General features: G+C 46.3%; 1 protein-coding gene across 2 annotated transcripts in view; it reads right to left on the bottom strand.

Moving 5' to 3' along the window:
* Positions 1–17,334: 17,334 nt before the first annotated feature.
* Positions 17,335–23,542, bottom strand: part of GID4 (GID complex subunit 4 homolog) — a 28,998-nt gene continuing 22,790 nt past the window's right edge. For both annotated transcript variants that reach the window (NM_024052.5, XM_005256800.2), the window contains one exon: positions 17,335–20,560. In NM_024052.5, the coding sequence (NP_076957.3) occupies positions 20,497–20,560 (64 nt within the window). In that variant the 3' untranslated portion in view covers positions 17,335–20,496. The remainder of the gene's footprint in view (positions 20,561–23,542) is intronic.

The following is a 23,542-nucleotide window of genomic DNA, read 5'->3' as shown; positions in this document are numbered from 1 at the left end:
TTTTCTTTTTTTTTTTTTTTGAGACGGAGTCTCTCTCTGTTGCCCAGGCTGGAGTGCAGTGGCGCGATCTTGGCTCACTGCAAGCTCCATCTCCCGGGTTCACGCCATTCTCCTGCCTCAGCCTCCCGAGTAGCTGGGACTACAGGCGCCCGCCACCACACCCGGCTAATTTTTTGTATTTTTAGTAGAGACGGGGTTTCACCGTGCTAGCCAGGATGGTGTCGATCTCCTGACCTCGTGATCCGTCCGCCTTGGCCTCCCAAAGTGCTGGGATTACAGGCGTGAGCCACCGCGCCTGGCTATCTTTTTTTCTTTTTTTGAGACGCAGTCTCACTCCGTCGCCCAGGCTGGAGTGCAGTGGCACAATCTCGGCTCACTGCAAACCTCCGCCTCCCGGGTTCGAGCGATTCTCCTGCCTCAGCCTCCTGAGTTGCTGGGACTACAGGCGCCTGCCACCATGCCCGGCTAATTTTTTGTATTTTTAGTAGAGATGGGGTTTCACCATGTTAGCCAGGATGGTCTCAATCTCCTGACCTCGTGATCCGCCCGCCTCGGCCTCCCAAAGTGCTGGGATTACAGGCTATTTTTCTTTTTTTAGAGATGGGGTGTCTCTCTATCACCCAGGCTGGAGTGTAGTGTTATGATCATGGCTGACTGCAGCCTTGAACTCCTGGGCTCAAGTGATCCTCCAGCCTCAACCTCCCAAGTAGCTAGGACTACAGGCACATGCTACCATGGCCAGTTAATTCTGGTTGAAAAATTTAAAAGCACCTATAAAAAGACATTCTGGGCCAGGCGCAGAGGCTCACACCTGTAATCCTATCATTTTGGGAGGCCCAGGTGGGTGGATCACCTGAGGTCAGGAGTTCAAGACCAGCCTGGCCAATATGGCGAAACCCCATCTCTATTAAAAGTACAAAATTAGAGGCCGGGTGCAGTGGCTCACGCCTGTAATCCCAGCACTTTGGGAGGCCAAGGCGGGTGGATCACGAGGTCAGGAGATCGAGACCATCCTGGCTAACACGGTGAAACCCCATCTCTACCAAAAATACAAAAAATTAGCTGGGCGTGGTGGCGCACGCCTGTAGTCCCAGCTACTTGGGGGGCTGAGGCAGGAGAATCGCTTGAACCCGGGAGGCAGAGGTTGCAATGAGCCAAGATTGTGCCACTGCATTCCAGCCTGTGCAATAAGAGAGAAACTCCATCTCAAAAAAAAAAAAAAAAAAAGACATTCCAAGCTGGGTGTGGTGGTGTGTACCTGTAGTCCTGATTACTGAGAAGGCTGAGGCAAGAGGATCACGTGAGCCCAGAAGGTAAAGGCTGCAGTGAGCCATAATCACACCACTGCACACCAGCCTGGGCCATAGAGTGAGATGCTGTCTCTAAAATAAATTAAATAAATAAACAAAAATTTTGAATAAATAGAAAACATTCTGAGGACAATTTGGAAGAAATCTAACTACGAATTGGATATTGAATATTCTGGAGCTTACCAATTTTCTTGGTGTGATGATGTAAGCGAATGTCTTTATTCTTAGCAGATGTACATGCAGTATTTAGGGGTTGTCTTAGTCGGCTCAGGCTGCCATAGAATACCATGGACTTGGGCCAGGCGCGGTGGCTCACGCCTTTAATCCCAGCACTTTGGGAGGCTGAGGCGGGCAGATCACGAGGTCAGGAGATCGACACCATCCTGGCTAACACGGTGAAACCCTGTCTCTACTAAAAAATACAAAAAAAGAAAAAAATAGCCAGGCGTGGTGGCAGGCGCCTGTAGTCCCAGCTACTCAGGAGGTTGAGGCAGGAGAATGGTGTGAACCTGGGAAGCGGAGCTTGCAGTGAGCCGAGATCGAGCCACTGCACTCCAGCCTGTGTGACATACCATGGACTTAGTGGCATAAACAACAGACATTTATTTTCTCACATTCTGGATGCTGGAAGTCTGAGATCAGGATGCCAACATAGTTGCACTCCGGTGAGGGCTCTCTTCCTGTTTTGCAGAGGGCTACTTTGCCACTGTGTCCTCAAATGCCCTTTCCTTAGTGCATGCTCTCAGAGAGACAAGCTCTCTGGTGTCCCTTCTTACAAGGGCACCATGTCCATCATAAGCAGTATCTTACCCCATGAACTCATCCAACTCTAATTACCCCCATAGGCCCCAACTCCAAATACCATCACATCACAAACATTCAGTCCATAGTAGGTGTGACATCTGTACCTTACTCAACTAGTTCAAAGTATGTATATATGGGGCTGGGGACGGTGGCTCACGCCTGTAATCTCAGCACTTTGGGAGGCTGAGGCGGGTGGATCACCTGAGATCAGGAGTTCAAGACCAGCCTGGCCAACATGGAGAAACCCCGTCTCTACTAAAAATACAAAAATTAGCCAGGCATGGTGGCTCATGCCTGTAATCCCAGCTACTCCAGAGGCTGAGACAGGAGAATCGCTTGAAACTGGGAGGCAGGGGTTGCAGTGAGCCGAGATTGCGCCACTGCACTCCAGCCTGGGCAACAGAGAGAGGCTCTGTCTCAAAAAAAAAAAAAACCAAAGTAGGGCTGCTGCGGTGGCTCACATCTGTAATCCCAGCACTTTGGGTGGCTGAGGCGAGCGGATCACTTGAGGTCAGGAGTTCAAGACCAGCCTGGCCAACATGGTGAGACCCCGTCTCTACTAAAAATATGAAAATTAGCCGGTTGTGGTGGTGGGCACCTGTAATCCCAGCTACTCGGGAGGCTGAGGCACAAGAATTGCTTGAACCTGGGAGGTGGAGGTTGCAGTGAGCCGAGATTGTGCCACCACACTCCAGCCTGGGAGACAGAGCAAGACTCTGTATCAAAAACAAAACAAAACAACAAACAAACAAACAAACAAACAAAGAATGTATATATTTAGAGATAGCAGGGTAAAGTAAATGTGCCAATATGTTAACAATTGTTGAAACTGGGGGGAGGGTATGTGGGTGTTTATTAAATCATTCTTCCAACTTTTCTGTATGTTATTAATAAAAAGTTGGGGGGAGGAAACATGTCCTTGAAAATCATACCGCCTGTGTTCACATTCCAGGTTCCTAACTGTATGAGATTGGCTAAATTTCTTTCTTTCTTTTTTTTAAATGAGAAAGAGTCTTGCTCTGTTGCCCAGGCTGGAATGCAGTGGAGCAATCTCGGCTCACTGCAAGCTCCGCCTCCTGGGTTCACGCCATTCTCCTGCCTCAGCCTCCCGAGTAGCTGGGACTACAGGCGCCCACCACCATGCCCAGCTAATTTTTTGTATTATTTTTTTTAGTAGGAACGGGGTTTCACCGTGTTAGCCAGGATGGTCTTGATCTCCTGACCTCGTGATCCGCCCACCTCAGCCTCCCAAAGTGCTGGGATTACAGGCGTGAGCCACCGTGCCTGGCCTAGCTTGGCTAAATGTCTTAACCTCTCTGAGCCTGTTTCTACATCCTAAAAGTGGGAATAATGTGGTTGTTATAAAAATGAAGTAAGAGGCCAGGTGTGGTGGCTCACTCCTGTAATCCCAGCACTTTGGGAGGCCAAGATGGGTGGATCACCTGAGGTCAGGAGTTAGAGACCAACTTGACCAACATGGCAAAACCCCGTCTCTACTAAAAGTACAAAAATTAGCCGGGCGTGGTGGCAGGCGCCTGTGATCCCAGCCACTCAGGAGGCTGAGGTAGGAGAAGCTTGAACCCGGGAGGCGGGGGTTGCAGTGAGCTGAGATTGCGCCACTGCACTCTAGGCTGGGTCACAAGAGCGAGACTCTGTCTCAGAAAAAAAAAAAAAAAGAAGAAGATAATGGCTGTAGAGCACCTGGCATGTAGTTTGCTTGCTGATAAGTTGTTGTTGAATGCCAGAACCATTGGAAATTGTTTCTTCTCTCTGGATGTCATGGAATTTCTCAGATTTAACCCCTATTTATCAAGCATCTACTATGCACCAGGCTCTGGGCTAGACAGGAGCTTTTGCAAACTTTGAGCTTACCACTCTCATCTGCATTTTACAAAGTGAAGTCTTGAGCTATGCAAAGTGCCTGGCCCAGTGCTCAAGCCATTCAATGGCAGGACTGAGATGATAATCCAGGGCTTTCAATTCCAAGTCCTGTGACTCCAAAGTAACATGGTAGGCTGTAGGTGGAAATAAATGTATGATGTTTCTGTAAGGTTTAAAGAAGATTATAGTGGTGAGAACAACTTGGGTGGCCCATGAAGATGTGGAGGCCTGAAGAACCCTGACCCAGGTTGGGGGCCTGTAAGTCCTCTCTCTGCCTCCACCTTCTACATCAGTGGCTCTCGGAGCCTCCTTCACCACCACCTTTGTGCCCACAAAGGCAGGTTCACTTCCAGTTTTTAGTTGGGGAAACAGAAGAGTTTTGGAAAATGACTCACCTTCTGAGAATCCTGGCATCTTTGCTGTTGTATCTGCTTCCATGAAATCCCTGTGGGCCTCAGTTCTTCTCAGGTAACGTTAGAATCATGCCTACTTCAAGGGTCAAGGGAGATGACCGCACATCAGACTTGCTCTAGGCAACCGGCTCTCCTGCTTGGAAGGTCTGGGCCCTCCAAACCCTAACCCGGAAGGCCACCTACAAGCCTTTGTGTGCATGCTGTGCAATGAGCCCTTGAGGTGGAGTTTAAATGCTTCTGGAGAGGCTGCTACCGGAACCGTAGAAACATTTGGCTTGTGCATCAAAAGACACTATCAGCCTGGCACGGTGGCTCATGCCTGTAATCCCAGCACTTTGGGAGGCTGAGGTGGACGGATCACCTGAGGTCAGGAGTTTGAGACCAGCCTGGCCAACATGGTGAAACCCCGTCTCTACTAAAAATACAAAAAAAAAAGAGCTGGGCGTGGTGGTGCATGCCTGTAGTCTCAGCTACTTGGGAGGCTGAGGCAGGAGAATCACTTGAACCCGAGAGGTGGAGGTTGCAGTGAGCCAAGATTGCATCACTGCACTCCAGCCTGGGCAACAGAACGAGACTGTCTCAAAAAAAAAAAAAAAAAAAAAAAAAAAGACACTATCAACACAGTGAAAAGGCAACCCACAGAGTGGGAGAAAATATTTGCAAATCACATATCTGAAAACAACCCAATTAAAAAATGGGCAAAGGGCTTGAATTGAAATTTCTCTAAGGAAAATATACCTGGGGAGTGAGTGTTTAATGGGTGCAGAGTTTCAGTTTGGGAAGATGAAAAAGTTCTGGAGACAAAGGGTGGTGATTGTTGTGCAACAATGCGAATGTACTTAATACCACTGAACTATATCCTTAAAAGTGGGTATAATGGCCCGGGCACAGTGGCTCATGCCTATAATCCCAGCACTTTGGGAGGCTGAGGTGGGCGGATCACCTGAGGTCGGGAGTTTGAGACCAGCCTGACCAACATGGAGAAACCCCATCTCTACTAAAAATACAAAATTAGCTGGACACGGTGGCACATGCCTGTAATCCCAGCTACTCAGGAGGCTGAGGCAGGAGAATCCCTTGAACCCGGGAAGCAGAGGTTATGGTGAGCTGAGATTGCGCCATTGCACTCCAGCCTGGGCAAAATTTCGTCTCAAAAAAAAAAAAAGGTTAAAATGGTAAATTTCATGTATATTTATATCTATTTTACCACAACAAAAGTAAATAAATAAGTAAAGCATTTCAGAAGAAATTCTGGCAAAGTAACTAGGGGCAAATCTGGACTTCACTTATAATCACAGTTATCTAACCGGGACAGTATTCCTTGTTCAAATTTGTTCATTTATTTAACAGTACTGACTCCATGTTAGAGAAAAGTTTGTTTGCCTGATATAATTATGCTTTGTTTGAGTTTGTAGATTTTTCATTAAAAACAGCCTCAGGAAAACAGGACCTTCGATAGACATAAAAGAAAATACGCTGACCAACAACTCTAGGAACAGGCTGACCAGCCTGATAAGAACAGCTTGATGGTGCCTGCAGATGGCCACAAGACATTGACCAAGGAATTAACACTTAACTGCCAGCCTGAGACTGCGCGTTTCATAAGAATGCCTTGATCATCATTTGTACTCCCCTAATTTCCCTTAAAACTCTTCATCCAGAGATAGAACTTGGAGAGGTAGTCTTCAAACAAGTTCACTGCCTCCCTCCCCAAGGTTTCACCAAAGCTTGTCTCTTGACTTTTGTTTGTTTCTTTTCCTTTTTTTCTTTTCTTTTCTTTTTTTTCTTTCTTTTGAGACAGCATCTCACATAGTCCCCCAAGCTGGAGTGCAGTGGTGCGATCTTGGCTCACTGCAACATCCACCTCTCCAGCTCAAGGGATCCTTCCACCTCAGCCTCCCGAGTAGCTGGGACCCAATACTGGTGCACAGTAGTGTGCACCAATCTGCTCAAATCGAATTGGCTAATGGAACTGTTTGGCTGCTCAGCTGGTGTCAGGTGAGCACAACTCGTGTGTCCTCTGGATAGAGAAATGAATGGGACAGCAGCCCTGCCCTCAGGAAGCTCAGAGCTTGGCTGGAGAGCTAGATAAGTGAACAAAAAGACAGGAAGTCAGCAAAAGATAGAATGAGTATGTGAGAATCATCACATTATTATTATTATTACTTATTTGGAGCTTGGGTCTTGCTATGTTGGCCAGGCTAGCCTCAAACTCCTGGGCTCAAGGGATCCTCCTAATTCAGCCTCCAGAGTAGCTGGGACTGCAAGCACAAGCCCAAGCCACTGTGCCAGGCTCTTTTTTTTTTGGAGACAGAGTTTCGCTCTGTTGCCCAGTCTGGAGTGCAGTGTTGCGATCTCCGCTCACTGCAACCTCCACCTCCCGGGTTCAAGCAATTCTCCTGCCTCAGCCTCCAAGTAGCTAGGATTACAGGCATGCGCCACCATGCCTGGCTAATTTTTGTATTTTTAGTAGAGAGGGGTTTCACCATGTTGGCCAGGCTGCTCTCGAACTCCTGACCTCAAGCAGTCTACCTGCCTCAGCCTCCCAAAGTGCTGGAATTATAGGTGTGAGCCACTGTGCCATTGACACCCCTTTTCCCCAAGCCTGGACATTCACCAAAGGTACAGGCTACCATGTTGGGACAGGCTGTGGGGGAGCATGTTGCACCTGTGATGAAAACATTCATTTTTGCTGGACACAGTGGCTGATACTGTAATCCCAGCACTTTGGGAGGCCCAGGCGGGTGGATCACTTGAGGTCAGGAGTTGGAGACCAGCCTGACCAACATGGTGAAACCCCATCTCTACTAAAAATACAAAATTAGCCGGGCATGGTGGTGCACGCCTGTGACCCCAGCTACTTGGGAAGCTGAGACAAGAAAATTGCTTGAACCCAGGAGGTGGCGGTTGCAGTGAGCCGAGATTGCGCCATTGCACTTCAGCCTGGGCAACAAGGAGCAAAACTCCGTCTTAAAAAAAAAAAAGAAAAGAAAAAGAAGAAAGAAGATATTTATTTTTACCCAGCATGGGGTGTTCTCTGAAGGTTGACTCTGACCCAGGAAAAAGAGCTTTTTGGAGACAGGGTCTCGCTCTGTCACCCAGACTGGAGTGCAGTGGCACGATCTGCAGCCTCGACCTCCTGGGCTCAAGTAATACTCCTACCTCAGCCACCTGAGTAGCTGGGAATACAGGTATGCACCACCACACTTGGCTAATTTTTGTATTTTTAGTAGAGACTGGGTTTTGTTTGTTTGTTTTGTTTGTTTTTTGAGATGGAGTCTCACTCTGTCACCCAGGCTGGAGTGCAGTGGCGCGATCTCGGCTCACTGCAACCTCTGCCTCCTGGGTTCAAGCGATTCTCCTGCCTCACCCTCCCAAGTAGCTGGGACTACAGGCACGTGCCACCACGCCCAAATAATTGTTTTTTATTTTTTTTATTTTTAGTAGAGATGGGGTTTCACCGTGTTAGCCAGGATGGTCTTGATCTCCTGACCTTGTGATCCACCTGCCTCAGTCTCCCAAAGTGCTAGGATTACAGGCGTGAGCCACAGCACCCAGTTGTTTATTTGTTTTAAATAGAGACAGGGTCTCACTACATTGCCCATGCTGGTCTCAAACTCCTGGGCTCAAGTTATCCTCCTGCCTCGGCCTCCCAAAGTGCTAGGATTTGTATATTTTTTTTCTTTTTTCTTTTTTTAGAGAGTCTTGCTCTGTCGCCCAGGCTGGAGTGCAGTGGCGCAATCTCAGGTCACTGCAACCTCCGCCTCCTGGGTTCAAGCGATTCTCCTGCCTCAGCCTCCTGAGTAGCTGGGATTACAGGCGTGCGCCACCATGCCCGGCTATTGTGTATTTCTGGTAGAGATGGAGTTTTATCATGTTGGCCAGGCTGGTCTTGAATTCCTGACCTCAAGAGATCCACCCGCCTTGGCCTCTCAAAGTGCTGGGATTATAGGCTTGAGCCACGGCACCTGGTCCTAAAGTGCTAGGATTATAGGCACGAGCTACTGCACATGGCCGAGACCGGGTTTTGCCATGTGACCCAGGATGGAAAAAGGAGCATTTTAATTCTAATTGATGCACACTTTATTGAAGCTGCAGTAACCTCAGACGTCTGGAGTTGGGGTAGTGTGTAGGGCTGTTTGTCCTTTTGAACCTAGTCGTGTCTTCTGTGATGAGTTAACATCTGAGGGTTTTAGAGAAAACTTCTGGGCTGAAATCCAGAAAACAAAGCCAGTAGACCTCCTAAATGCTGTCTTCATTCTTACAGGAAGCTTCAGGCCCCAGCCCTTATGGAACACGGTTAGGCAGAGACAATTGCACGGGGGCCCTCTCTAGGTGCATTGGAGGGATGATTGGCCTCAGGTGGCAGCAGGGAATGGCTCTGTGGTACACCCAGGGTGACCAGGCCCCAGAGTTCCTAGTCTTTTTGTTTGTTTGTTTGTTTTGGTTTTTTGAGACAGAGTCTTGCTCTGTCCCCCAGGCTGGAGTGCAGTGATCTCAGCTCACTGCAAGCTCTGCCTCCTAGGTTCACTTCATTCTCCTCCCTCAGCCTGCCGAGTAGCTGGGACTACAGGTGCCCACCACCACACCTGGCTAATTTTTTGTATTTTTAGTAGAGACGGAGTTTCACTGTGTTAGCCACGATGGTCTCGATCTCCTGACCTCGTGATCCGCCCACCTTGGCCTCCCAAAGTGTTGGGATTACAGGCATGAGCCACCGCGCCCGGCCAGGAGTTCCTAGTCTTGGGAAATGGCAAATATTCTTGGCCCCCAAGAGTGGTAGAAGTTGCCATTTAGATGGGAAAGGAAAGGGGTCTGGGCAAGGGGCCCTTGCATGGTAACTGGAGAGACTAAAGATGAGAAGGATCTCTCCAGAGCTTCAGCACCTACAGCCTGAGACACTGACACGAGGCCCTTTTGTGACCAGGTGAAGGGAGAGTCCCAATAAGAAACACTCAGGTGTCATTTTCTGCAACCTTGGCACGATGCAGGCTGTTAATCTGATTTGAGATAAGGAAAATAAAGTTAATGGAGTAAGATTCCTCCCCACTAAAGAGATGAGCAGCATGGGGTCCAGGAGCATGCATGGTGGACCCTAATACAGAGTGGATGGTGCAGGCAGAAACATCAGGAAAAATGTTCTGGGGAAGATGGTTCCCTTAGAGAGTAAGTCAGGCCAAGGTCAAAAAGTGGGAATGAGCAGGGCTGGGGGGATTTCCTGTGGGCTCTGCCTGGGGGCTCTGCAGGTCTGGCAGCATCTCCAGCAAGCCAGATGGATGCTGGACAGGTCACAGAGGACTGGTCACACCTGAGGTTCTCCTGAGGGGTCTGGATTTGATCTTGTGGGCAATAGGAACACTTTTAAGGTAAAGAGAGGTCTGACCAAATTTGAATGTGAAAGCTTCTCCCTTTCCAACTTTCTATTTTTATTTATTATTTTGTTGTTGTTGTTGAGACAGGGTCTCACTCTGTCACCCAGGCTGGAGTGCAGTGGTGTGATCTCAGCTCACTGCAACCTCCACCTCCTGGGCTCAAGAGGTCCTCCCGCCTCAGCCTCCCTGGTAGCTGTGACTACAGGCATGCACCACCATGCCTCGCTAATTTTTGTATTTTTTGTAGAGATGGGTTTTTGCCATGTTGCCCAGGCTGGTCTCCAACTTCTGGGCTCAAGTGATCCTCCCACCTTGGCCTCTCAAAGTGCTAGTATTATAGATGTGTGAGCCACCAAGTTCAGCCCCAATTTTCTAGAATTCTGATTCCATCCATCCTTTGAGCCCACCAAGATCTCCAATCCATTGGTGCTACCACCTTCATCCCCTTGAAGTCCTCTCTCCCTCCGTATCCAGCTTGAATTCCATGGTCTTCACTTACTTCACTCCCTTGCACACACAACAACTCCCTGACTCTTCACTCACCTGTACTTGCAAAACCACAGGCCTCTTCCTACTCTGCACCTGCACCTGGGTTGGGAACATCCCCATGCTTGCTTGGGGCATGCTTGACTTCCGCATCCATCCACTCTTCCTCTCCTGGACAACCATCTCGTGCCTTCTTTCTCCTCAAAGGCCCAATACCTCTCCCCCTATCCTCATCCTCAGGAGGGTTGTCTACCTTGCTCTCAAGCTCACTAAGAACCATTGAAGAAATGAGACAAGAACTTCCACAAACTTCCAACTTGCCAGCATTGGCATGGCTGCTTGTTCCCAGAAACAAACTCTCAGTGCTTCTACCTGAGCCATCCCTGTCCTACAGCTTGAACTTTGCATTCTGCTGTGTCATTTTCAACAGCATACAAATATGCTGTCACACCTCCCTTCGGAAAAGTAAGCAAAACTCCTTCTCTTGCTGGTCTGAATTTTCTAGTTTTGTACAATGCATCCCTACTGTTTCTGAATTAATGGATGGTTTTTAAAAATATTTTTGATTCAACTTTTTTTTAAGCATAATTTACTTGCAATAAAACACACCATTCTCCAGTGCATAATTCAATGAGTTCTGACAAATGCATAGGGCGATGCAGCCACCCCCACATTTGACACACAGAACATCTCTATCACTCCAGAAACCACCACCCCCCCGCACTCAGTCCTCACCCCAACTCAGCCCCAGGCTGCCACCCATCTGCTTTCTATCACTACCAGTTAGACTCATCTTTTCTACAACTTCATCTGAACGGAATCACACAGCATATCGTCTTCTGTGTCTAGATTCCTCTGCTCAGCATAATGTTTCCAGATTCATCTGTGTTGTATCGCTATAGTACATTTCTTTTTATAAGAAATGCTGAGAGGTGTTTCATTATATAGCTGTACTATAATTTATAATAAATGGTTACCTAGAAATTCATTAAAATTTGGCAATGGTTCCTTGGATATGACACCAAAAGTACAGGCAACAAAATGAAAAAAAAAATAGATAAATGGGATTATATCAAAAAGAAAAACTTTTGCCAGGCGCGGTGGCTCACGCCTGTAATCCTAACACTTTGGGAGGCTGAGGTGGGCGGATCACGAGGTCAGGAGATCGAGACCGTCCTGGCTAACACGGTGAAACCCCGTCTCTACTAAAAATACAAAAAAAAAAAAAATTACCCAGGAGTGGTGGAGGGCGCCTGTAGTCCCAGCTACTGGGAGGCTGAAGCAGGAGAATGGTGTGAACCCAGGAGGCAGAGCTTGCAGTGAGCTGAGATAGCACTGCACTCCAGCCTGGGCGACCGAGCGAGACTCCGTCTCAAAAAAAAAAAAAAAAAAAAAAAAAACTTTTGTGCATCATTAAGGCACTATCAAGAGCATGAAGAGGCCGCCGGGCACGGTGGCTCGTGCCTGTAATCCCAGCACTTTGGGAGGCTGAGGTGGGCAAATTGCGAGATCAGGAGTTCGAGACCAGCCTGGCCAACATGGTGAAACCCCATCTCTACTAAAAATACAAAAAGTAGCTGGGCGTAGTGGCAGGCATCTGTAATCCCAGCTACTCGGGAGGGTGAAGCAAGAGAATCACTTGAACTTGAGAGGCAGAAGTTGCAGTGAGCCAAGATCGTGCCACTGCACTCCAGCCCGGGCGACAGAGTGAGACTCTGTCTCAAAAAAAAAAAAAAAAAAGAGATGGTAAAGAGACCCCACAGAATAATAGGAGAAAATATTTGCAAAGCATGTATCTGATAAGGAATTAATATCTAGAAAATATAGAGAACACCTACAATTCAGCAACAATGAAACAATGCACCTGATTTAAAAATGAGCAGGGGGCCGGGTGCAGTGGCTCACACCTGTAATCCCAGCACTTTGGGAGGCTGAGGTGGGCGAATTGCGAGATCAGGAGTTCAAGACCAGCCTGGCCAACATGGTGAAACCCCATCTCTACTAAAAATACAAAAATTAGCTTGGCGTTGTGGTGGGCACCTGTAATCCCAGCTACTCAGGAGGCTGAGGCAGGACAATCGCTTGAACCCAGGAGGTGCAGGTTGCAGTGAGTTAAGCTCACACCACTGTACTCCAGCCTGGGCGACACAGGAAGACTCTGTCTCAAAAAAAAAAAAAAAAGAAAGCAGAGATCCTGGGCAACGTAGTGAGACCCTGTCTCTACAAAAAAAAAAAAAAAAAAAAAAAAAAAAAAAAAGCAAAGGACTTGAATAGACATTTCTCCAAAGAAGATATACAAATGTTGAATAAACACTTGAGATGATTTCTCAGCATCACTAATCATTAGGTAAATGCAAATCAACATAGTGAGAGCCAGTCTCTACAAATATTTTGAAAAAAAATTAGCTGGGTGTGGTGGCGTGCATCTGTAGTCGCAGCTACTTGGGAGGCTGAGGAAGGAGAATTGCTTGAGCCCAGGAGGTCAAGGCCACAGTGAGTCATGATTATGGAGTGCAGAAATGCCACTGCACGGCCAGGCGCAGTGGATCATGCCTGTAATCCTAGCACTTTGGGAGGCCGAGGTGGGCAGATCACCTGTGGTCAGAAGTTCAAGACCAGCCTGGCCAACATCATGAAACCCCATCTCTACTAAAAATACAAAAATTAGCCAGGCATGGTGGCAGGTGCCTCTAATCCCAGCTACTCAGGAGGCTGAGGCAGGAGAATCGCTTGAACCTGGGAGGCGGAGGTTGCAGTGAGCCAAGATCGTGCCATTGCACTCCAGCCTGGGCAACAAGAGGAAAACTCTGTCTCAAAAAAAAAGAAAAAAGAAAAGCCACTGCACTCCAGTCTAGGTGACAGAATGATACCATCTCAGAAAAACAACAACAAAAATCACAGTGACGTATCACTTCACACCCATTAGGATGGCCATTATAAAAATTTTAAGGCTGGGCACAGTGGCTCACGCCTGTAATCCCAGCACTTTGGGAGGCCGAGGTGGGCAGACCACGAGGTCAAGAGATTCAGACCAACCTGACCAACATGGTGAAACCCCATCTCTACTAAAAATACAAAAATTAGCTGGGCGTGGTGGCACGTGCCTTGTAGTCCCAGCTACTTGGGAGGCTGAGGCAGGAGAATCACTTGAACCCGGGAGGTGGAGGTTGCAGTGAGCCGAGATTGTGCCACTGCACTCCAGCCTGGCGACAGAGTGAGACTCTGTCTCAAGAAAAAAAAAAAAAATTTAAAAAGGAAAACAGGTGTTGGAGAGGATATGGAGAAAATGGAATCATTGTGTACTGCTGGAGAGAATGTAAAATGGTGCAGCCACTATGAGAAACAGTTTGGTGTTCCTCAAGAAGTTAAGCATAGAATTATATGATCTAGCAATTCCACTCCTTAGTTACAAACTCAAAATACTTGAAAGCAGGTACTCAAACAGATACTGACCACACAAACCAGTGTTCATAACAGCACAATGCATAATAGTCAAAAGGTAGAAACAGCCCAAATGTTCATCAACAGATGGATAAAATGTGTTATATACATACAATGGAGTATCAGCCATAGCATAGAAAGAAATTCTGACACATTCTACAAGTGAAAAAAACCAGTCACACAAAGATAAATACTATTATGATTTCATTTCTATGAGGGATCTAGACAAATTCATGGGGACAGAAAATAGAATGGTGGTTATCAGGACTAGGGGGAGGAATGGGGATTTAGATAGCGTTTACTGAGTCCAGAATTTCTTTAGGATGATGGAAAACTTCTGGAAACAGTGGTGATAGGAACACAATGTGAATGTACTTAATACTACTGAACTGTACACTTATGAGTGGTTAAAGTGGTAAATTTTATGTAATACACATTTTACCACAATAAACAAAGCCTCATTACATATAATTTGCAGAAAACCCCTCCCCCTGCAGAAATAACCAAACCAACAACCCATTTCTAGCCCACTCCCCTGACAGCTACTTCCTATTTATTTTCTTTCCTTATGCAGCACAACTCTGCAAGCTACTCACATCAAGCTAAAATAAGCGAGAGAGAGACTGACACTCCAAAACAAAAAGTTTATTTGAGAATAGCAAGGGGTTGCAATCTGGGGTATATGGTTGGGGAAAGGGGAATGAATCTTTTAGAGGTAAAAAGGAGAAGTCCGTGTAAGCTGTTTTAAGACAGAGAACATTGTTCACAGGGGCTTCTCACAGGCTCCAGTTCCCAGCTCCCTTGCAGTGTGGTGACTGTGTGAATGGCCAGAAGCCACACTTAGTCCACCAACACCACAAGCCTGAAAGCCTTTCTCTCATTTCAGGGCGGGAGGCTCACTTAGTTACGCTCAAAGCTTCCTGTGCGTTGGAGTCACCCGGGGAGCTTTAAAAACATCGACAGGTTGTGAGGACTGGTCTGCATGCTGCCTGACATTAAATCAGCTCCCATGTGCTTCTGAAGTGCAGCCAGGTTTCAGAAACACTGCTCCAGGTCAAGCCAGTGAGAAGGCATGAAGATGGAGGGGCTGTGGAGCGATTATGGAGAGAAACCATGACTAATGCATTGAAAAATGAAGCGAACTGAAAAATCAGAAGGAAAAAAATGGCAAAAATAAACTTGAATCCAGCATATGTTTCTCTACAAATGAAAAGCCTTACATGTTTTCCCTGCTATGTACAAATAGGGAGTTTCAATCTTTCGATGTTTTGGAAGAAAAATCTGGAGGGAAAAGCTGTTCAACTGCAATCCAACTTTGAGGCTTTTTTTTTTAATTTTTATTTTTAAATATATCAAAGCCTACTGCCTATTTCATTACTGAGCAATTTTAATGCTTCCCTTCCCAGGTGCAGTTCAGATGAGTGGAGATAGCACTTTTTTTGTTGTTGTTTTTTTTGAGATGGAGTCTTTGCACTATCGCCCAGGCTGGAGTGCAGTGGCGCTATCTCGGCTCACTGCAAGCTCCGCCTCCCGGGTTCACGCCATTCTCCTGCCTCGGTCTCCTGAGTAGCTGGGACTACAGGGGCCTGCCACCACGCCCAGCTAACTTTTTGTATTTTTAGTAGAGACGGGGTTTCACCGTGTTAGCCAGGATGAGTCTTGATCTCCTGACCTTGTGATCCGCCCACCTTGGCCTCCCAAAGTGCTGGAATTACAGGCGTGAGCCACCGCGCCCAGCCGACAGCATTCTTATAGTTTTCCTTTTGTCCTGTTTTGCAATTGGTTTCACACTTAAAATCTACACAATTTCTACTATTTCTACAGTTCCTATAGATGGCCTAAAAACAAAGCTAACTAAAGGTTATAAATTGGGGATCTAAGAATCGAGATATGAAAGAGAGTTGCTATAGCTGTTGTAGACATGTTTTATTCCTGCATCACCCTCAATACCTACAATGGTGCATGTGGCAAGGCTCAGTAGATACTTTTTATTTATTTATATTTTTTTGAGATGGAATCTCATTCTGCCACTCAGGCTGGAGTGCAGTGGCACGACCTTGGCTCACTGCAACCTCTGCCTCCCTGGTTCAAGTGATTCTCCTGCCTCAGCTTCCTGGTAGCTGGGACTACAGGCACCCGCCACCATGCCCGGCTAGTTTTTGTATTTTTAGTAGAAATGGGGTTTCACCATGTTGGCTAGGCTGGTCTCGAACTCCTGACCTCAAGTGATCCTCCCACCTCAGCCTCCCAAAGTGCTGGGATTACTGGCATGAGCCACCGCACCCTGGCCCAGTAGATATTTTTATATTATTATTAAGCAAGAATAACTTTTTACATGTTATTCAATTTACAATTATTCTTATTCAATTTACAATGTGCTTTCAGGAGCATCTTCTAGAATCCTCAACAATTCTTTAGTCCAGACAGAGGTTTTCCACTTTCTGGGTGAGGGAAGTTGGGCTCAGGGAGGTTAGCTGATGTACCTTGAGGGCAGATTGGGACCCAAGGTTGATAGGTGGAACCCAGGCCTCCCATGACTTTTCCATTCAACAAAACAGCCAATAAATGGTGTCTTGGCTGGGTGTGGTGGCTCACACCTGTAATCCCAGCACTTTGGGAAGCTGAGGTGGGTGGACAGCTTGAGCCCAGGAGGTTAAGACCAGCCTGGGCAACATAGGGAGACCCCATCTTTACAGAAATAAAAAAAATTAGGTGGGCGTGGTCGCATGCCTGTGGTGCCAGCTACTTGGGAGGCTGATGCAAGAGGATCACCTGAGCCTGGGAGTCTGCAGTGAGCTGTGATAGCACCACTGCACTCCAGCCTGGTGATAGAGAGCTTGCCTCAAAAGATAAAAATAAATGGTGTCTTAAATCCTGAGTCCAGCACTGTGAACAGTCTATTCTTTTATTGACACCACATCTCATGGGAGAAAAAAGCTTATTATTGCTTAGACAATATGAGATCAGAAAATACACACAACAGGGGAGCTTTGCCCTGCCACTGATGTAAATTCCCTTAGCATTTCAACTTGCTTAAAATTTAGACCTCAACACTTTATATGTTTCCTCAAAATCTCCCATGTTTCCAGTCATGTTCCTTCAAGCCTCCTAGGGAGGTGGGACCTGAAACGTAACAGAATGGTTTGTCAGAATAAACTGTAATGGCTGATTTAGGGATCCTGCTATTTGGGGGTCCAAGTGCCTGTGCTTTGAGACTTAGGCATCTTCTCTGAGGACCACAGTCACAGTGTCGAGAGCAGCCCAACAGCATTGCCTGTCCCCACACCAGAACACAAAGCAGGCTTTGGACAGATACCTCTGCCTGCACATTTTCTCTGTGTTAAATAGAAATATAAACCCTTCACATATGGAAAAAAAAAATGCTTCCACATTTCTGAAGAAATACAGAAATTAACAAAATGGAGCTTGAATAGAAGTGCTGAGCAGCTGAAAACATTCAGAATGAAAAAGGAGCAAGCAGACCACTGCAACAGTTGCCCAGAGGGGCCCTCGGTTTGCCCTGGCACACAGAGGTCTCCGGCTGGCCCTGGAGAGCTCCACAGCCACAGGCCCAGAGAGGACTGCTTTCCTCTAATGGAGCTGCTTTGGTTTACAAATAGGACAAACTCACTGCTTAAATACCTTTATTTTTTTTTTTAAATTATTTGGACATTGATAGCTCTGCAAAATACTTCTCCCATCCCAAACCCTCAAACTCCTTCCACATGTCCTCCATAAAGAAACAAAATATTTATACTTTGTGCCCATTCAAGTCTAATTTTTAAAAACATTTAAGATTCAAAATCAAATATTATTTTTCTTTCCCACAACTTGTTAGTAATTTTAAACCACGATACAACACAGTTAATGGCATTTCTTTTTAAAAATTAGCTTATCAGACTATTTTATGAGAAAAAAATCAATTCAAGGCCTTAGTGAGAATATTATATTCTCTGTTTCTGAAAGCAAAAGACATTGAAAAACCCCTTTGCTCCTCTGGAGTTTGTGATTTCCACATAACCAACAAAACCAGCACACAGATTGACTTCCTACTTAACAGTAGGTATTGTTTTGTTACTTTGGGACAGCAGCTGAAACACTATCTAAACTTGAAAAGGGTGGGTGGGTGGAAGTCCAGCACAGAAGAGGGTCGAGGCTGAGGACAGCAGAATGGAAGCTTTCTGAGCAGTGGAGTAAGAACAGCCAAACCCCTAGGATCCTACCTCATGGCAGGCTTGTTTGGGATGGAAGACAGAACATCTGCAATCTGCACTAATTTCTTAAGGATGGATACAAGTGTCAACCAAAAATATTGCACATAGTTTCAGAGGCATGTAAACCACTGAGAAGGTTCAGGAAAGCGTAACTACGGATGAAGATGATTCCCCAAAGTTCCTTCAGGAACGGAGAGAAAGAAGTTGATGTTGGTAATTCAGGAGTTACTAAGAGGAGGTGGAAAAATCCTTAATCCTTTCCCTATCCTCAGTGGGCAGACTTTTAAATGAACAAATCTTCTCATAGATGTGTCTGAAGGATCTAGTAAAGGTATCACCTCTTCATTCTTCCCAGTACAATGGGTGCACTTCATCACCTGGGTAAAAAAGGAAGGAAGGAAGAAATCCTGCCATAGGACTTGGGTTGTTTGTCTAGAACACAGCAGTGTTTGCAAATGGCCCTTCCTGCCCACTCAAACCACTACTCGGAGCCACAGCATGAGCCGTGGATGAGCTCAGGGATGACCTCCGGACTCAGTGCTCCAAGGGGAGGCCTATATCCCTCACAGGCCTGGAAAAATGCAGAAGGTATGGGCTCGCATGCTGTTGAGGGGAGAGCTGAAGAGAGTGGAATGGCACGTACGGCAGGAAGGACAGCACAGCCCCATGGCCTCCTTCACTTGTCCATCAGCTCAACCAAGGCCATCAGCTCAACAAGACCACAGTGAGCATCTCCTCACATGACAGCAGCTGGGCTTGACCACAGCCAGCCCTTCTGATGCCTTGTTGAATTTCAGGATTGAGGAGACTGTTCTGACTCATCTCTGGGAATGAATTATTTTTCCCTTTAAGTCATCGGGCCAACTTTTTAGGGTTCCAAAGCCCTGACCTTCCTGAATGGGTAGGTTGCCCCTCTGTACACAGTCCTGGGATAACAGATTTTAGATATCACAAGTGCCCACTGGCTACTTTCCCAAATACCTCTACCTTAAGGCTTCCCCTAACATTCAATCTCAGTAACATACAGTACATATGTCAATAAAATTAAAGTCACTTCTTAAGAACAGAAAAGGTTTCCCATTGCTCGTCTCGTCTCACTGAAGGGCTTCACATTCTCTTATGCTGCCCGCCCATGGATATGCAGCCTCCAGGTTGCTTTGCTCCTGGGGGTTATGATGCAATCTTGTTTTTAAAGCTTTTCCTCTTGTATTCGGAGTAAGTCTTGTAAACCACCAGAAAAATGCCAAATCCCCAAAGCCCTAGCCATGTTTGTGGGCTACAACTGATGCCAACCTATTAAGCTTTTAAAACATTTAAAAAAACAAAACATCATACACACACACACACACACACACACACACACACACTTTGGCACGTGAGCCTCGAGTTATTTGAGCATGTTCATGTTTCCCACCCCTTCCCCTGTCCCAACATTTCAGAGTCACTGTTTTCAGAGAACGACGACCCCTTCTGCCTCATGGAAGGCTGCCGCCAAGCATTGCTGTTTTGAGTAGCAAAAGGAGGCGGCACAAATGCTAAACTGGCCCCAAAAACAGTTCTTGTGTTGAGCACTATAATTTAGGCAATGCTGCAAAACTTTTGTACCAGGATGACTAGTTTCAAAACTGCTGGTTGATTAAATATACATATACATATAGATATCGATATAAAAATTACTAAGTCAACATTTGCTGTTTTCAATGTGAAAACGATAAAATGTAATTCTGAATAATTGTGCATTTGCCATAGGGTCCTCGTTAAAGGGACCATAAAAATAATTTTGTAATAAAAAAACTCTTATTTTTAAGTTTAGTATTGCCCTCAAGTTGAAAAGTTTGGAGCAAATGTACTGAGTAAGCAGGACTGGAATCTGTTCCTGCCAGGGATCTGGAAGCCTTAAATTTAGTGATCCCTGATGGCAGGCCCAGGGAACCTGACAGCTACTCACTAGCTTTGCACTGTTAACAGTACAGGGCTCAGCAGCGCACGCTGACCCGTGACACAATCAGCACTGAAGACTGAGGCAGCCCAGCAGGGACTGGAGCCTCCGCCTCTTGTGCCCTTGGTGGCCGATGATGCGGCAGCTGGCCAACTCCCTGCACAGAGCTCTGGGGGGCACAGAGGTGCTGGGGCTCTGCCTTCTCTTGAGCTACCAGACAAAGCAACTGGCGGGGGGTGGGGGTCTAGGGCCTCGGGACCACTGAGCACCAAGGCTGAGGGTGATCCGGGAGCAGACCTTCTATTCGGCTGGAGGTGGGACGGAGGAAGGAATGGGCATTTCAGTGATGTAGAAGTTAGCTGTGCAGGAAGGAAAAGTGCGTTTAAGGTAGCTTAAAAACAGGTGAAGACCAAACTGCCACTGAGGGGAGGAAGAACGAAGACTGCTCCCTCCACCTGCCCCACGGGCCAGCCATGCTCCTTGGATTCTGTGGGTTAACATTCATGCTTTGTGATGCGAGTCTGCTCGTGAAGAAACAGGAACACACTTCTCCTGGTTCTGGCAGGTACACAATTTTCTCGGCAAAGTTCTTTTTTGCCAAGTTCAGTTTTATTTGGTTGCTGTTCTGAACCGTTGTCACCGGAATTCATAGATGGGTGCACTGTGTTCAGGAACATGGGTTAGATTGAGGGACTGATACCTGCAAGGGGGAGGAGACAGAAACGGGAGGTAGTCATCTAATGCACCCTGAGCAAAGGACATTAGTAACCCCTCAAAAAGCAGAGCACCCAACAAGTCACATACTTGGACTGAAATGCACATTCATTTTCTATTTCTCAAGTTGAACCTAGTTTGATTTCATTCATTCTTTCTTTTTTTGGTTAATCCTCCTGAACCATGCACTAGATGAATGTTTTTTTTCATTCTGCTCTAATCATGAAGTTAACTATGGTATGTTTTATAAAAAGGAGACCTCAATAAGCTGTGGGAGAAGATGGAGACCCACGCCCAAGCCCTAACCTCACCGGCTGCTCTGACCTCTCCTGCTGTAGCATGTAATGCCAGGCTCTCATATCCTAAGAACTTTATGGCTAGCATAGGCATAAACTGATTCTCATGGTATCTAAAGAGAGCGTAGAAAAATTCATTTCACTACTGCCTTAAACTGTATTTTACCTTTCATTTAAATTTTCTCACTTTCCTAGGTACGGTATTAGGCTTGGAAAACATTAGTGATATCTGAGGTGTTTGCCTCCCCTGTTGGCAGGTGATCCAGGGAGTCATGCAGAGGGAGGAGAAATAGGGGCAGACAATCTACATGCTGGGATGACAACCTCGGGCACATTTAGAGTCAATGTCTAGCAAGTTGGCTCTCCCCTACTTGTTTCATACAGGAGTGTGGAAGAACGTAGGAAAAAGCGGCTTATTTCTTACCAAAAACAAATTATCAGGAAAGAAATATGCATTAGCCATCAAAAATATGCAAATTAGAACTACAATGAAATACTGCTTCACATCCACTAGGGTAGCTATAATTATAGAGACATGATAACAAGTGCCAGGGAGGATGTGGAGAAACTGGAACCCTCATACATGCCGGTAGGAATGCAAAATGGTGCAGCTGCTGTGGGAAACAGTTTGGCAGTTCCTCATAAAGTTAAATATAGCAATACCGTATGACCTAGCAATTTCACTCCTAGGTATATGTCCAAGGAATTGAAAGCAGGAACTCAGATATACCCATGTTCACAGCAGCATTATTCACAAGAGCTAAACAATGGAAGCAATCTAAGTGTCCACTAAATAATGAATGGATAAATAAAATGTGGTATATACCGGCCGGGCACGGTGGCTCACACCTATAATCCCAGCACTTTGGGAGGCCGAGGCGGGTGGAACACCTGAGGTCAGGAGTTCGAGACAGGCCTGGCCAACATGGCAAAACCCCGTCTCTACTAAAAATACAAAACTTAGCCAGACGTGGTGGCAGGCGCCTGTAATCCTAGCTACTCGGGAGGCTGAGGCAGGAGAATTGCTTGAACCTGGGAGGCGGAGGTTGCAGTGAGCCGAGATCGTGCCACTGAACTCCAGCCTGGGGGACAAGAGCGAGACTTTGTTTCAAAAAAAAAGTTGTATATACCTGTAATGGAAAATTAATTGGCAATAAAAAAGAAGTTCTGATACATGGTACAACATGAATGAACCTTCAAAGCATTATGCTAAGTGAAAAAAGCCAGAAGCAAGGGCCGTATTTTGTAGATTCCATTTATATAAAATACCCAGAATAGGCAAATCTATACATACATAAGAGAAAGACTAGTGGTTGCCCAGGGCTCAGAGGGGATGAGGAGTTTGGGATAATGGCTAAGGGTATGGGGTTTCCTCTTATGGTGATGAAAATGTTCTAAACTTGATAGTTAGACAACTCTATTAATATAGGAAAGATCACTGACTTGTACACTTTTTTTTTGAGATGCAGTCTCACTCTGTCGCCCAGGCTGGAGTGCAGTGGTGCAATCTCGGCCCACCGCAACCTCCGCCTCCGAGGTTCAAGTGATTCTCCTGCCTCAGCCTCCTGAGTAGCTGGAACTACAGGTGCGTACCAGCACGCCTGGCTAATTTTTGTATTTTTAATAGAGACGGGGTTTCACCATATTGGCCAGGCTGGTGTCGAACTCCTGACCTCGTGATCTGCCCACCTCGGCCTCCCAAAGTGCTGGGATTACAGGCGTGAGCTACTGTGCCCGGACCAAAGCTGTTATTTATTTATTTATTTATTTATTTATTTATTTATTTATTTATTTTTGAGATGGTGTCTCGCTCTGTCGCCCAGGCTGGAGTGCAATGGCCCGATCTCAGCTCCCTGCAAGCTCCACCTCCCAGGTTCACGCCATTCTCCTGCCTCAGACTCCCGAGTAGCTGGGACTACAGGTGCCTGTCACCATGCCTGGCTAATTTTTTGTTTTTTAGTAGAGACGGGGTTTCACCGTGTTAGCCAGGATGGTCTCGATCTCCTGACCTCGTGATCCACCCGCCTCGGCCTCCCAAAGTGCTGGGATTACATGCGTGAGCCACTGTGCCCGGCCAGCTGTTATTTTTAAAAAGGATTATAAAAGTTTTACAAACTTGCGTGAAAACCATTACTGAAAGCCTAAAAATCGTGGCTACAGGGCTGGCATTTACTTGCAGATATAATTTCGTTACCACTGAACAAGGAATCTAGGGTAGGATCACTTCACATATAACAAAGTGTTAAATACTGGAAAGAAAGAATTTTTACCTTCAGAGAGGAAATCAGGCATTTTATCACATGGTTTGCCCTCCGGGGACAGCAAGGTGCTTAAAAAGCAGCAAGGAGGCAGGAGAATCCCTCAAAAGGTGGCAAAAGTTAGCATTCAGGCAGAGTTCAGTCCTTTACTATTGGTGACACACTGGACAGGACTGTCCACTCACAGGCCCCCAGGTCATGAGCCTTAAATCAAGTGCATGTCGGACCAACTCTAAGGAATGCAGCCACAAAATTTAAAAAGCTGCTGACAGCAAAATTCACATTGTCCAGTACTGGATCAATTCACATTTTAGTTACTAATTCAATTTGCAAGGATTAAATAAAAACCAGCAAGATTGAGATAAACATTGCCAAAAATACAGTATTGCTTAAAAGTGCTTAGAAATGAGTTCT

This window comes from Homo sapiens, chromosome 17 (assembly GCF_000001405.40).
Source record: "Homo sapiens chromosome 17, GRCh38.p14 Primary Assembly".
Lineage (NCBI taxonomy): Eukaryota > Metazoa > Chordata > Mammalia > Primates > Hominidae > Homo > Homo sapiens.
The sequence above is the reverse complement of the archived record's forward strand: the minus strand, read 5'-3'. Positions and strand labels throughout refer to the sequence as shown.